General features: G+C 36.7%; 1 long non-coding RNA gene across 7 annotated transcripts in view, besides 1 other annotated feature; it reads right to left on the bottom strand.

Annotated features, from left to right (window-relative positions):
- ARL14EP-DT (ARL14EP divergent transcript) overlaps window positions 1–14,274 on the bottom strand; it is a 279,977-nt gene that overhangs the window by 256,663 nt on the left and 9,040 nt on the right. The window lies entirely within an intron of this gene.
- Window positions 11,242–11,411: a silencer, noted in NCBI's record as "silent region_3213". NCBI's record gives its function as "represses an Ori minimal core promoter by ATAC-STARR-seq in GM12878 lymphoblastoid cells {active_cell/tissue: GM12878}" and the evidence as "EXISTENCE:reporter gene assay evidence [ECO:0000049][PMID:35858748]".

Here is a 14,274-nt window from a genome sequence, read left to right on the forward strand (position 1 = left end):
GTACTAGCAAACTGAATCCAGCAGCATATCAAAAAGCTAATCCACCACAATCAGGTAGGCTTTATCCCTGGGATGTAAGGTTGATTCAACATACACAAATCAATAAATGTGATTCACCACCTAAACTAAGCTAAAAACAAAAAAACACACGATCATCTCAATAGGTGCAGAAAAGGCTTTTAATAAAATTCAGCATCTCTTCATGTTAAAAAAGAAAAAAGCCCTCAACAAACTTCAAGGAAGTATGTTCCTTGAAGGAAGGAACATACTTCAAAATAATAAGAGCCATCTATACCAAGCCCACAGCCAACATCATACTGAATGGACAAAAGCTGGAAGCATTCCCCTTGAAAACTGAAACAAGACAACAAGGGTGCCCTCTATTACCACTCCTATTCAACATAGTACTGGAAGTCCTAGCCAGAGCAATTAGGCAAGAGAAAGAAATAAAGGGCACCCAAACAGTAAGAGAGGATGTCAAACTATTTCTGCTTGCAGATGAAATTTTATACTTAGAAAACCCCAGTCTTTGCCCAAAAGTTCCTTAAGCAGATAAACAATTTTAGCAAAGTTTCAGGACACAAAATCAATGTACAAATTTAGTAGCATTCCTATACACCAACAACATCCAAGCTGTAAACCAAATCAGAAACTTAACCCTGTTCACAATATCCACAAAAAGAAAAAAGAATACCTAGGAATACAGCTAATCAGGGAGGTGAAAGATCTCTACAAGGAGAATTACAAAACACTAGTGAAAGAAATTAGAGATTACACAAACAAATGAAAAAACATTTCAAACTCATGGATAGGAAGAATTAATATTGTTAAAATGGCCATACTGCCCAAAGCAATTTACAGATTCAATGCTATTCCTATCAAACTACCAATGGAATTCTTCTCAGAATTCCAAAAAAAATACTATTTTAAAATTCATATAAAATCAAAAAAAGAGCCCAAATAGCTAAGGCAAACATCAGCAAAAAGAACAAAGCTGGAGGTATCACATTACTTGTCTTCAAACTATAGTATAAGGCTACAGTAACCAAAAAAGCATGGAACTGGTACAAAATAGACACATAGACCAACGGAACAGAATAGAGAGCCTAAAAATAATGCCACATACCTACAACCATCTAATTGTTGACAAAGTCAACCAAAACAAGCAATGGCAATGGGGAAAGGACTCCCTATTCAATAAATGGTGCTGAGATTACTTGCTAGCCATATGCAGAAGATTTAAATTGGACCACTCCTTTGAAACACATAAAAAATCAATTCAAAGTGTATTAAAGATTTAAATGTAAAACCTAAAAGTATAAAACCCATGGAAGATAACTTAGGAATTATCATTCTGGACATGGGACCTGGCAAAGATTTCATGATGAAGATGCCAAAAGCAATTGTGACAAAAGCAAAAGTTTGCAAGTTTGCTGAAGAACTCTGTAGAGCAAAAGAAACTACCAACAAGCTAAACAGATAGCCTACAGAATGGCAGAGAATATTTGCAATCTATGCGTCCAACAAAGAACTAATATCCAGAATCTATAAGAAACTTAAACAAATTAACAAGCAAAAAACAAACATAACCCCATTAAAAAGTGGGCAAAGGACATGAACAGACATTTTTAAAAGAAGACATACAGGCAGCCAAGAAGCATATGAAAAAATGCTCAACATCACTAATCATTAAATAAATCCAAATCAAAACCACAATGAGATACCATCTAACATTAGTCAGAATATCTATTATCAAAAAGTTAAAAACTAACAGATGCTGGCGAGGTTATGGAGAAAAGGGAACACTTATACACTGTTGATGGGAAAGTAAGTTAGTGAACCCATTATGGAAAGCAGTTTGGCAATTTCTCAAAGAACTTAAAACAAAATTTCCATTTGACCCAGGAATCCCATTATTGGGTCTATAACCAAAGGAATATAAATCACTCTACCACAAAGACATACATACATACAGCACTATTAACAATAGCAAAGACATGGAACCAACCCAAATGCCCATCAATGATGGACTAGATATAGAAAATGTGATACGTATACACCATGGAATACTATGTAGCCTTTAAAAAATAATGTGATTATATCCTTTGCAGCAGTATGGATGGTGCTGGAGAACATTGTCATAAGCAAACTAACACAGGAACAGAAAACCAAATACATATTCTCACTTACAAGTGGGAGCTAATCATTGAGTATACATGGACACAGAGAACAACAGATAATCCAGGCCTACTTGAGGGTGGAGAGTGGGAGGAGGGTGAAGATTGAAAAACCACCTATCAGGTACTATGCTTATTACCTGGGTGATGAAATAATCTGTGCAACAAACCCCTGTGGCATGCAATTTTCCTATATAACAAACCTGCACATGTTCCCCTGAACCTAAAATAAAAGTTTAAAAAATGAAAGAAAATGGAACTTCTTTTCTTCTAAGAATTTGGGTTATCGTTTTTGATGTTTGAAGCTGGTTTGTTCCCCCAGGCACAAAGAAAATAAGTATTATATACTACTTAATTCATGGAAGATTATCATGCTCAGTCTTTACAGGTTCCTTCTTTTATTTTATTAATTATTTTCTCCCTTCATCCTAGATGAACACATTTCCCATTATCCATCCAACTAGATAGCCAGTTTAGCATTTTAATTGAGGTCCTGACTATAATTATACAGCCTATAAAATGTGTTTTGTGCTTGTTTTTTAATTTATGTATTTTTCCCATTTATCACTATATTTTCAGATCTATCCATGTGGCTATATATAGATCTACTCAGTTGCTTCTAATGCTACATTCTCTGCAGCATCAATTTCTACAGTATGTGTCCCTCATATTTTACATATCAATTTCCCTAGTGATGACCACCTAGGTTACCTTTGAATACTAACAGTGATGAATATCCTTATAGATCCACATGTGGGAAGTTTTCCATGTAATACACACCCAGAAATGGTATTGCTGGCTCACAAGGTATAGTCACACTTATACTATTAGCTTAATTTCCAGAAATATTGTACTACTTTCTATTCCCACCAGTAATGCATTGTGTATTTTAACGTTAAGCTCATTTAAAATATATTCTGCCACCTAAAGTGGCAGATTACAAGATAATAGATTTTATTTTGTTTCTGGCTACTCTACATCAGTAAGAAAGAAAGAATAATTTTGTCTTGTTTCTGGCTACTCTATATTCATAAGAAAGAAAGAAAAGATATCATTAATTCCACCACCCAGGAAGGTAGTTCGGTCTTGACTTCTAAGGCATGGGCTGTTTTTAAGTTTAGAAAAAAATAAACAATGATATTGTGTTTTGGAGCCAGAAGGGTGAGTTGCTAGGCAGAGAACCACCACCATTGAAGACAGCTCTGAATAGGTCTTTGTGCTTCAAAGGCCTAGGTCCATTTGGAGAACCAAATATTTGGAAAGAAGAGAAGAATTGGAGGCTTTCTAGTGTTATCTGACAGGTTGATAGTTATTGATTCTCTAATATACACCTGCTTGCCATGGGTGTGAGGACTGATCCCACCTAAACTGCCTGTGTAGTGAAAGAACTGTAGAAGGCCATAATTAGGGAAGAAGCGCTACACTCCTTGAAGTCTAAGTGAGGGTCCATCTGGTTAAATTTGGTACAGTGGAAACAAACCATACACTGGAATGATTAACCTCAAATGAACTGTTGTGTCTGCCTTTAAGGACCTTCTAAGTCCCCAGGGTCCTTGTAAAACCCAAGCAAGGGGAAGGAGGCTGTGAAGTAAAATGTCTGATAACAAACTTTCAAGCAATCTTCGTGGATAAAACCAGATTTAGCCTTATTCAGACAAAAGAAAAAGTTTGCTTCTTAAGGGCTTAGTTTAGGAATCTCTTTTCTTATCTCTGTGTCTTCTTTCCCTTGTTGATCTTGTAAATTTCTACAACTTTAAATGCTATCTATGACTTTTATTTTTATATATAACTAATTCATGCACACACCACACTGCACATAATCCCTATGACCATACCCCTCACCTTTTCTTCTTTGCACTTTTTACTGTTTGTTTTTAACACGTTGGCTGTCTGCCTTCCCAATTAGGTTGTATATTAGCCAATGCAGGAGTCCCATCTTGTTTATTTACCAAATATTTACCTATTTGTGTCTGATGTAGTTCCTGATACAGAGTATATAATTAATAAATATTTTGGAATGAATAAATAAATGAATTAAAGCCCTAGAGTTGTAGAGCAATTCACATTTGTAACATAAAAAGAAAACACTTCTTCAAATCTCCTCCCATTAGTCATGCCATCTTGCTCTCTTCATTAATAATTCTGGAGCATAGGGGTCTCTATCTCCTTTACTCTGTCACTTTCCATTCTCATCTCTGATGCAGAGTCCTTCTCTCATAAAAATGCAACTATGTTAATGCTCTAAGGCTGCCTTATGATGCAAAGGAAAATTTTTTTGCTCTATACATGGTCCATTTAAGAAAATAGGAATTCACCATTGCCATCCAAACATGAAATGTGGCATAGGTTTCCTGGGGTAGCAAAATGTACCAGAACCTAACAGAGGATAGAAATGTGAAAAAACAGAGGCAATAAAAGAACAGAGAGTAACAGACTAAAAAGAAAGAAAGTATTTCTTGGTGACTATCTGATTATTACTCATTTTGGAGTGAAAGATGACCCCATGGCGACAGGAAAAAAATGTTTTGCATCATTCTCTGAACTGTGAATATATCAAAACAAGCCATTTGTATGATTCAATTTATTTCTTATTTGTAATATCTGGACTCTCACTTTCTAGATGTTTCTAGATGAAGTTACAGTCTCAAACAAACCTTGTGGCTCTCATTGAATTAGAATTATTCCTCAACTATCACTTTGCTAAGATCTGACTTAGGCACTGCAGGATATCCACCATCATAATTTAGGTTCTCATCACTCTATTTCAGATTAGAATAAGACATGGCAAAGAATGGAATAAATATGTAGGCCACTGTAGAAGGAGACTAGGGAGTACAAAGTCACAAGCAGTGATGGGTAGTTCAGAATGCGCACTTCAGCAAGGAACTAGGGAGGGAGATGAGTGGTTTTCAGATCCTGTCTTCCTTTCAGTGTTGGGGTCAGAGGACTTTCTTCCAAGCCAGCAAGTAAGACAGAAGATTCTGTCTGGCATCTTCTCTGCAGGGTACTCTGAGCTAAAAATAGCTACTCTAGATAATGAATGCTATGGCATTGCTAATTTATTTAAATGAAAAAGTCCTCATCTGTGATTTTCCTATTTTTGCCCAGCCAACTAAACTTTGCCTGAAGCAGACAACAAGCTGGTGGTCACTAGACTATTACTAATACTAGTAGGTTTAGCTCATTAAAATGATTTTAGAGCCTCTCAGTGCAATAAGCATGGCCTGTTGTCACTATTTCTATTTTTATTCCTTTGGGATATCACCTAGAAAGCTGAATTGAATTACAGCAAATGAGTCTGCAGCTAAGCTTGAGGGGATGTGAAGAACAGAGTATTCCTAAGGTTTTGGTACCTTCTCAAGAATAGGTGGAAAATGGCTATGAATACTTTAAAGTTAGTCAACCCTGGATCCTCTCCAAAGGGAAGTTATCTAACTATTCTTAGCCTTGGCTTTCTTATCAGTAAAGTTAGGGCAATAATATATATGGTGCAGAATTATTGTTAATAATTAGAAGCAACTTATATCCAACACACAAGGCATGTGATAGGTGGTTGATAAATGTTACCTGTTATTATAGCTCTCAGAAGTTTGCCCAAAATAAGGTTCATTAAATCATATGAATTTATCCAACACATTCCCAATATTTCGTTGAGGATTTACAGATACAAGCATAGTAGTAGTCATATTGATGCCACAGAAAAAAAGATGTAACTACACAGAAACATTGGTAATAATAAAATGACTCTCCTGTCAATATTGGTAGCTTGAACCAGAATTAACCATGACTGGAAATGAAGTGGAAGGGCTTCTATTCCCAGCTATTATATAACAGCATAACTTGGAGCAAACCAATGATGCTTCTGTCTTAGTTCATTTGTGCTACTATAACAAAATACCATAGAATGGGTAATTTATAAATAAAAGAATTTTATTTCTCATGTTTTAGAGGCTGGAAAGTTCAAAATCAAGGTGCAGACAGATTCCACGTCTGGTGAAGGCTTGCTCTCCACGTTCAAGGTGGCACCTTGTTGCTTCATCCTCACATGGTGAAAGGCAATGGGCAAAAAAAGGCCTGGCTACTTCCCTCCAGCACTTTTATAAGAACATTAATCCCATTCACCAGGCTGGAGCCCTCATGACATAATCACTTGTCAAGTACCCCACCTCTTAAGACCATCACCTTGTGGGTTAAGTTCCAACATGTGAATTTTGGAGTGACACATACATTCAAACAATAGCAGCTCCCACAAAGAAAAAAAAGAGATTTTTAAAAATCTCTATTTAAAAGCATTGAGAGCTAATTAGGCAGTTAGGACTTAAAGGCCCAACATCCTAAAGAGAAGTGAAGCAGAAAGATGTGAGCCAGTAAGAGTCCCCTTGGAGAATTTCCTAATTTTTGGTGCTGTGTGAAAGGCTATGTATCTAAGGAAGAGCATAATTGCTGAGAAGCAGAGTAGCTGAAAGAGTTTCTGGTAATTTTGCAGGGCGGAAAACACAAAAAGTGGAGTCTAGAGCTGCCAAGGCAGCAAAGACAGAGGGAGAAACAAGCCTAACACACACAGTTACATTTTTTTTTTTGAGACGGAGTCTTGCTGTGTTGCCCAGGCTGGAGTGCAGTGGCGCGATCTCTGCTCACTGCAAGCTCCGCCTACCGGGTTCCCGCCATTCTCCTGCCTCAGCCTCCCGAGTAGCTGGGACTACAGGTGCCTGCAACCACACCTGGCTAATTTTTTTTTTTTTTTTTTTTGTAGAGACGGGGTTTCACCATGTTAGCCAGGATGGTCTCAATCTCCTGACCTCGTGATCCACCTGCCTCGGCCTACCAAAGTGCTGGGATTACAGGCGTGAGCCACCACGCCTGGCCACAGTTACATTTTTAAGATACACAAAGCAACCGGCTAAGAATCTAAGCAGAATGCCACTTAAAGGAAAAATCATTTTCAATAGTCTGACAGTGACAAAGACAATTTACAGCATATGAATGAGCTAAAAAGAAGGGGACTTAATAAAAGATAAATACCCCAGCCTCTCAGTTAAGACTGTCTGAGGCTATGCTCCCAAGAATGAGGTTAAACAAGATGTATATTTGAGTTCATAACAACTGTAACACAGACAACTTAGGTTAATTCAGTTGTTGATTAAATTAAAGTGTATTTTCCTCACTGTAGTTTCCTGACAGAGAACAAGGTGAACCCTTTCTGGGGACAGACAAAATCATCTGAACACATGTAATTTTTTCATATAAAATATTCATCATTTAATAAAAAGATGCCAAGGAGATGGGGTTCAGGACACGATACACCAAAATATGGCACCTTGGATTTGAGAAAACAGCAAAAGGAATAAGGTAACTCTCACCCTCCCCTTGCCCCTTCTCCCCTGAAGCAGGCCATAAAAACCTAGCTGATCTTCCCCTGAAGCAGATCATTAGACCTTAATTCCATAGACCCCCTCCCTATACCTGGAAGAAAGGAATGCTCTTATCCTCAAAGATAAAGATGCCAAGAAGAATCTGAACAACCCTTCCTAAGTCTGCCCTCCGCCCCCAACTTGTAACCTTTAGAACACACCCCCTTTTGTCCACACTTCTGTGACTGTTCATTCTTCAGCAAACCTAAGCATAAAAATACAGTTCTCCCTATTTCTTTGAGTCGTCATTTCTGAAGGCTCCTGTGTCATAGAAAACTTACATTAGACAAATTTGTAAGATTTTCTCATGTTAATCTTTTATTATAAGTGACTCAGCCATGAATTTGTGATGGATGAGAAATCTTCTATTCCCTACAAAGGCAGACCAAGAAACAAGACAAAAATAAAGCCCAGATGATATAAATAGACCCACAGATTATCAAAATCAATGTTATCTAACAGAACTTTCTGCAATGATAGAAATGTTCTATGTATGTGCAATCCAATACATGAGTGACTGCACACATGTGGCTATTGAGTACTTGACATGAAGAACTGAATTTTCTTTTTTATCTTAATTGATTTACATTTAAAGAGCCACATGTACCTAATGGCCACTGTACTGGACAGCACAGCAGTAGCCACTAATGGAATGCATAATTCTCATGATGATAAAGGTAAAAGATAATTAATAGAAATATTTGATGAATTCATCAAAGGAAGAAAAAGGCAACATACAACAAATGAGACCCCCAAAAAAACAGATATTGTATAATGGTCAGCATCTACCCAAATATATCAGTAATAAGCATGTAATGTTACTCACAAGAAAAGAATATATACTCTAATCGAAAAACAAAGATTGTCAGACTGAAAAAAATAAACAAAGCTTAACTATATGCTGCTCATAACCGTGACACATTTAATTATGGGAATTTCTTTAGATATTGCCTCTTCTCCAATCTCATTTCTCATCTTCTACAACTCTTATTATATTAGACGCATGTTCAACCCATTTAGTCTGCCTCAATTTCTCAACCATTTTCCCCCTATTTTCCATTTCTTTATCTTTGCTGGATTTTGGTTAGCTTTTCCATCTCTGTCTTCTAGTTCAGTAATTCTCATTTTAGCTATGATCTACCTATTGTTTAACTCTTTCGTTGAATTTTTAATTTCAAAAATTAAAAAAATCATTTTTTGGAGTTCTTTCCTATTTTTCAAGTTCACATATTCTTATATAATAATATCTTACCCTTTCCTTGTGGTTTTTACTCCTTTATCACTTTAATTATGTTAAGCATAGTTATTCTGCAATACATTTCATATTGTTCTAGTTTCTCAAGTCCTTGAAGTTCTAACAGTCCTCTTCACTATGTCTAATTACTCTCTGTCATACTGAATTATTTTCTTCTATGATTTATAAATTTTAATCCCAAGCTCTTGTTGGTAGTTCTTTATCACCCTGGACTGTTGGAAGTGTAGCTATACAGAGTTTTGCTTCTGCCGGACACCCCAGAACTTCACTGGTGTGAAGGATTATTGTTTATTATAAAACCCTAGGAAGACTGTCAATTGAGACTTCACAGTTGAATATGGAAAAACCTTGAGCTTTGATTTCTCTGGGAGTTTTTTTTTTTAAGTTTTAGTGTTTAGTTTTTCTAATTCCTCCTTCACTGACAGACAGCAATTCTATGATTCTGCCTTTATGCTGGGGTCTCAGGTCCAACTTTCTGCCTCACACAAGTCAAAGCCTTATCTCTTGTCTCCAGGAGACCTTCAAAGCTACAGCCCCTAGTTCCTAGTGGCTAGATCCAGTCACCAGCCCCCTCAGCCTCCACAGCATCAGCTGGTAAGTTTATTACTCTGGCTTTAATTTTCCTTTTCTTGCACCCACTGACATCTATGTTATGACAAGTCAGTCTTTTGTTATTTTTTTTATTGATAACTTCCATGTGGTTAAAGGCGATGAGTAGCTCTGCTTAGACTCAGCCCATCAAGCTCCCAAAATTACCCCATGATTTTTAGACCATGATTTCTCCTTCTTCTGCCTCCACTTCTGAATTTATTCAGGTTACCCTGCTCCTGTGGCCCCTCATATCTAGAAGCTTCACCATCTTACACAAAATTTCCAATCACATTTATATTCTTTATAGATATTCTAAGGTTCTGTGCAGTCGCAGAGGTAAGAGAATCTCGTTGTGGTGCGCATTGCCATCTGCCATCTTGTTGCTCCAACCTTCCTTCTTTCTTTTTCTCAGCCAGACCCTGTAGGCTCTGACTTTTCCAAAATCTCGTGCTCCTACATGTCTTCTTCCTTAGCATGCATAGGAAGCTTAATTCTCCTAACAAAATGTAGACCTCACTTGACAAAAGCATATCTGTGTTCTCCAACGCCATGAACATTTTGGTGAATAGGATTTTCTTTATACCTTCAGACTCACAAAAGTCATGCAGAGAACAGAGACAAGACCAAACATTGCTAGAGACTTTTCTTTAATTGAGAAAACTGCAAGTTAATCTATACACAACAGAGAAAATAAGTTTCCGCAGCTTTAAGGATTGTTTTGATATTCACACACACACATACACACATTATAAAATATGTCTATTAATTCAACAAAAATTAAGCACATAATAAGCAATGTGCTAGGTTTCATGGATATAATTAAAAACAAAACTACAGTCATCCATCACTTAATGATGGGGATACATTCTGAGAAATGCATTGTTAGATAATTTCATCATTGTGTGAACATCACAGAGTGTACTTACACAAACCTAAATGTATATAGCCTACTACACACCTAAGCTATATGCTGTAGCCTATCGCTTCTAAGCTATAAACCTGTACAGCATGTTACTGTACTGAATACTATAGGCAATTATAACACAATGGTAGGTATTTGTGCATCTAAACATAGAAAAGATGCAGCAAAAATACAGGAATAATCTTTTTGGACCACTGCTGTATAGACACTGTGTCATTGACCAAAACATTGTTACATGGCACATGACTATATTTAATGGCTTCCCTTTCCTGCTAAACTGTAAATCCTAGGAGGGCAGGGCTGTGTTTTACTTATTTACCTCAAGATCCAAGTGCTTAGCAGTGTACTGGCACTTAACGATATCTGTTGAATACATAAATGATTGATTATATTAATACATCAGTGAGTTTTGTTGCAAAGATGAAAATCTAAAGGGAAAATGATATGAAATTGTTCCTTAAACCTGCAGATATATATTTAAAAAGACACTAAGCTCTATCCTTTTAGTTCACTCACATTGGCAACTTTTCCTATTTAGCAAGATCTTAATAACCTCTGCTCATTAGTTTCCTTCACTTTCTCCCAGTCATTTTCTCCTCCCCTGGTTTTGTTTCCTTGCCTGCCTATCCTGACGCTCATGGCTACCTTTCTGAAATACTCTCTTGTCAATGTACTTAGCACATTGGACAAGCTTGATTTATGGGATCCAACTTTGTTTTTTGCCTCTTAATGGCCCTTTAAAGTTATTCAGAGGAGAATCTTTCTTTGTGACTGAAAAGGAGACTTCATGGGCCTCATAACTTTCTCAGTTTAGGTAACCGATGGCTCTGTGGTCACTCAAGTTACAAACCATTGTCTCAGTTCAGAAAGTGGAACTGCCAAGTCCACAATATTAAACATCTCTTAAGCTTTCATTCAAAGCAGTTTCCCCTCCCTTCCTCTGCTTAAGGCAGGTGGGTAGGCAGGCCACTTGTACTTGTGGAATGGGGTAGGTCAGCTTCTACTCTCTTTCTCACCTCTCCTTTTCTCTCTCTCTCACTAGCCACTGTGATTTAAGTGCAACTTATAGACAGTAATATTCACCAATTTGTAAGTATACCATTGATGAGTTTTGACAAATAAATTCAGTCATTTGAATATCACTACAATGATAATACAAAACATTTGTAACATCTCAAAAGTTTCCTCATTCACCACTGCTGTCAATCCTCTTTGGCTCCTGGCAACGACTGATCTCCTTTCTATCTCTATACTTGGGCCTTTTCTAAAATTTCATATAAATGGAATCATGTAAAAGACTACATACTCCATCTGGCTTCTTTTTGTAGCATAATGCTTCTGAGATTCATACATGTTATGCTTATCAGTAGATTAGCTTTTTTCATTGCTGAGTGTTATTCCATTGTATGGACATACCATTATTTTTTTATCCATTCATCATTCAATGGACACTTTGGTTCTTTCTTTTTTTCAATCATTACGAATAAAGCTGCTATGAGCATTCAGATCCAAATTATTGATTAGGTAGGTGCTTAAACTTGTCCCTGATAAATGCCTGAGAGTGAGATTTCTAAGTGATCTGTTTAACTTGTAAGGATTGTCAAATGGCATTTCCAAAGTGGCTGTACCCTTTTGCATTTCCACCTGAAATGTATGAGAATGTCATTTGCTCCATACCTCCTCTTAAGTGCTTGATTTTATCAACTATTTTTAAAAATTTTAGCCATATAATAGATGTGTAGTGCTATCTCATTGTGGCTTTAATTTGCATTTTATAAATGATTAATGATATTGAACATCTTTTCACATACCATTGCCACTGATATATTTTCTTCAACAAAGTATGTCTTCACATCTTTAGCCAAGTTTGTTTTAAATTGTGTCATGTCTTACCATTATTGAATTATAAGAGTTCTTGATATATTTTAGAAACAAGTTCTTTATCAGACATACGTCTACAAGTATTTTATCAGACTGTGTTGCTTTTCTTTTCATTTCCATTGGTGTCTTTTGAAGAGTGAGAGTTTTTCATTTTCATGAAATCCAATTTATCATTTTTTTATTTTATGGTTCCTGTTTTTTTGGTTGTATCTAAGAAAAATTTTGTCTAACCCAAAACTACAATGAATATCTCACATACTTGCTTCTAGACCTTTTTTTATAGTTTAGATATATTTGGATATGTGATCTATTTTGTATTAATTTTTGTATGTGGTATGACATAAAAATCATTGTTTACTTTTTTGCATCTGGATATTCAACTGTTTCAGTACCACTTTGTCTTAGTCCATTTAGGCTGCTATAATAAAGTACCATAAACTGGTGGCTTATAAACAAAAGATATTTATATCTCACAGTTCTTGAGACTATAAAGTTTAAGATCAAGGAGCTGGCAGATTTGGTGTGTATTCTCACATGGTGGAAGGAAGAACTCTGACCTCTTCAGCCCCTTATAAGGGCATTAGTTCCGTTCATCAGGACTCTATATCTGTGACCTAATTACCTCCCAAAGGTACCATTTCCTAATACCATCACATTGGGGATTAGGTTTCAACATATAAATTTGGTGAGGAAACACACATTCAGTTTGTAGAGTACTTACTGACTCATTAACTATATTGGGCAAGTTATTAGGTGGCAATTTCATATGGTTCAAACTAGCATTTGGTCTCTTTAATCTTCTTTTTCCCCCATATGAAAAACAGGAAGAGCTGTGGTACATATTACACAGGTGATTGTTGTGAAATTTAAATAAGATAATGCATGCAAAGCACTCCGTCCCCTGCAGAGCACATAAGTGCTCAGTAAAGGAGGATATGTTATAAAACTCATCAAGTCCTGACTATTGCAAAATATATCTTGAATTTATCTCCTCCACCTTATCACTATTTACTCATTCACTCATTTATTCACTTAACAACTTTTTATTGAATCACCATGTGTTCTGGGTACTAAGATAGGCATTGGGAATTCAATGGTAAACAAACTAGACATGGCCTGTGCTCCAGTGGGACTTTCAGAATGCAAGAGAAGACAGACTGTTAAATAGCAATTAAAATGCAAATAATAAAAAGTCATAACTCTGGGCTTTGCTCTGGCTAGTGAAATAATACATTTTCTATGTCCCATCTTCTTCCCCCAGGTTCCTGGGTAAGGGAACATAGGATAAGCCCAGAGATAAGAGAGAACTATTGAAGAAACTCCTGCCAGTGTGATCTATCTAAACCACATATCTGACCAAGTCACTCACTGTCTAAACCAGTGTAAGGCTCTTCACTGCCTTCAGGGTAGAGTTAAACTCTTTAAAATGACATATCTCTCACCAAAGCTCTTAGCACTCTTTCTCTCTCATTTTGTTTCAAAAAAACTAAACTATTTATATTTCTCTATACATGCCATGCTTTTTTATGTCTCTGTGGCTTTGCTCATGCAGTCCATGAAATGTCCTTCACCCTTCCTCTGCCTTGGTAACTCTTCATACCAGCTGGGATTCTCATGGCTGCAGAAGAAAGCAAGCCAGTTCAAACCAACTGGAGGCAAAAAGAGAAATTTACTGTAAGGATACTGGGATGCTTCCTGAAACAGAGAGCAAGGACGTGATTGTATATCTATTGTAGGTAACAACAGAATGCATTCTCTGGAAGACGCATTCTCTTCAGTTTGTCTCTGCTTCTCCCTGTGCATGTCAATGTGACTCACATTGTGGTTATTATTGGTTTTCCTCTATCAAATGGCAGAAAACATAGCAATTGACAGTTCTCAAGCTTCAGTGAGTCCCATGTGGAAAAATCCTAGGGAGGGACATTGATTGCCTCAGCATGTTTCATGTACTCACTCATGGCCCAAACATTTGGGGCCCAGGGATGCAGTGTGATGATGTACAGAATAGCTGCTCTCACCATAACCATGTGGATGGGG

Source organism: Homo sapiens, chromosome 11, assembly GCF_000001405.40.
Source record: "Homo sapiens chromosome 11, GRCh38.p14 Primary Assembly".
Classification (NCBI taxonomy): Eukaryota; Metazoa; Chordata; class Mammalia; order Primates; family Hominidae; genus Homo; species Homo sapiens.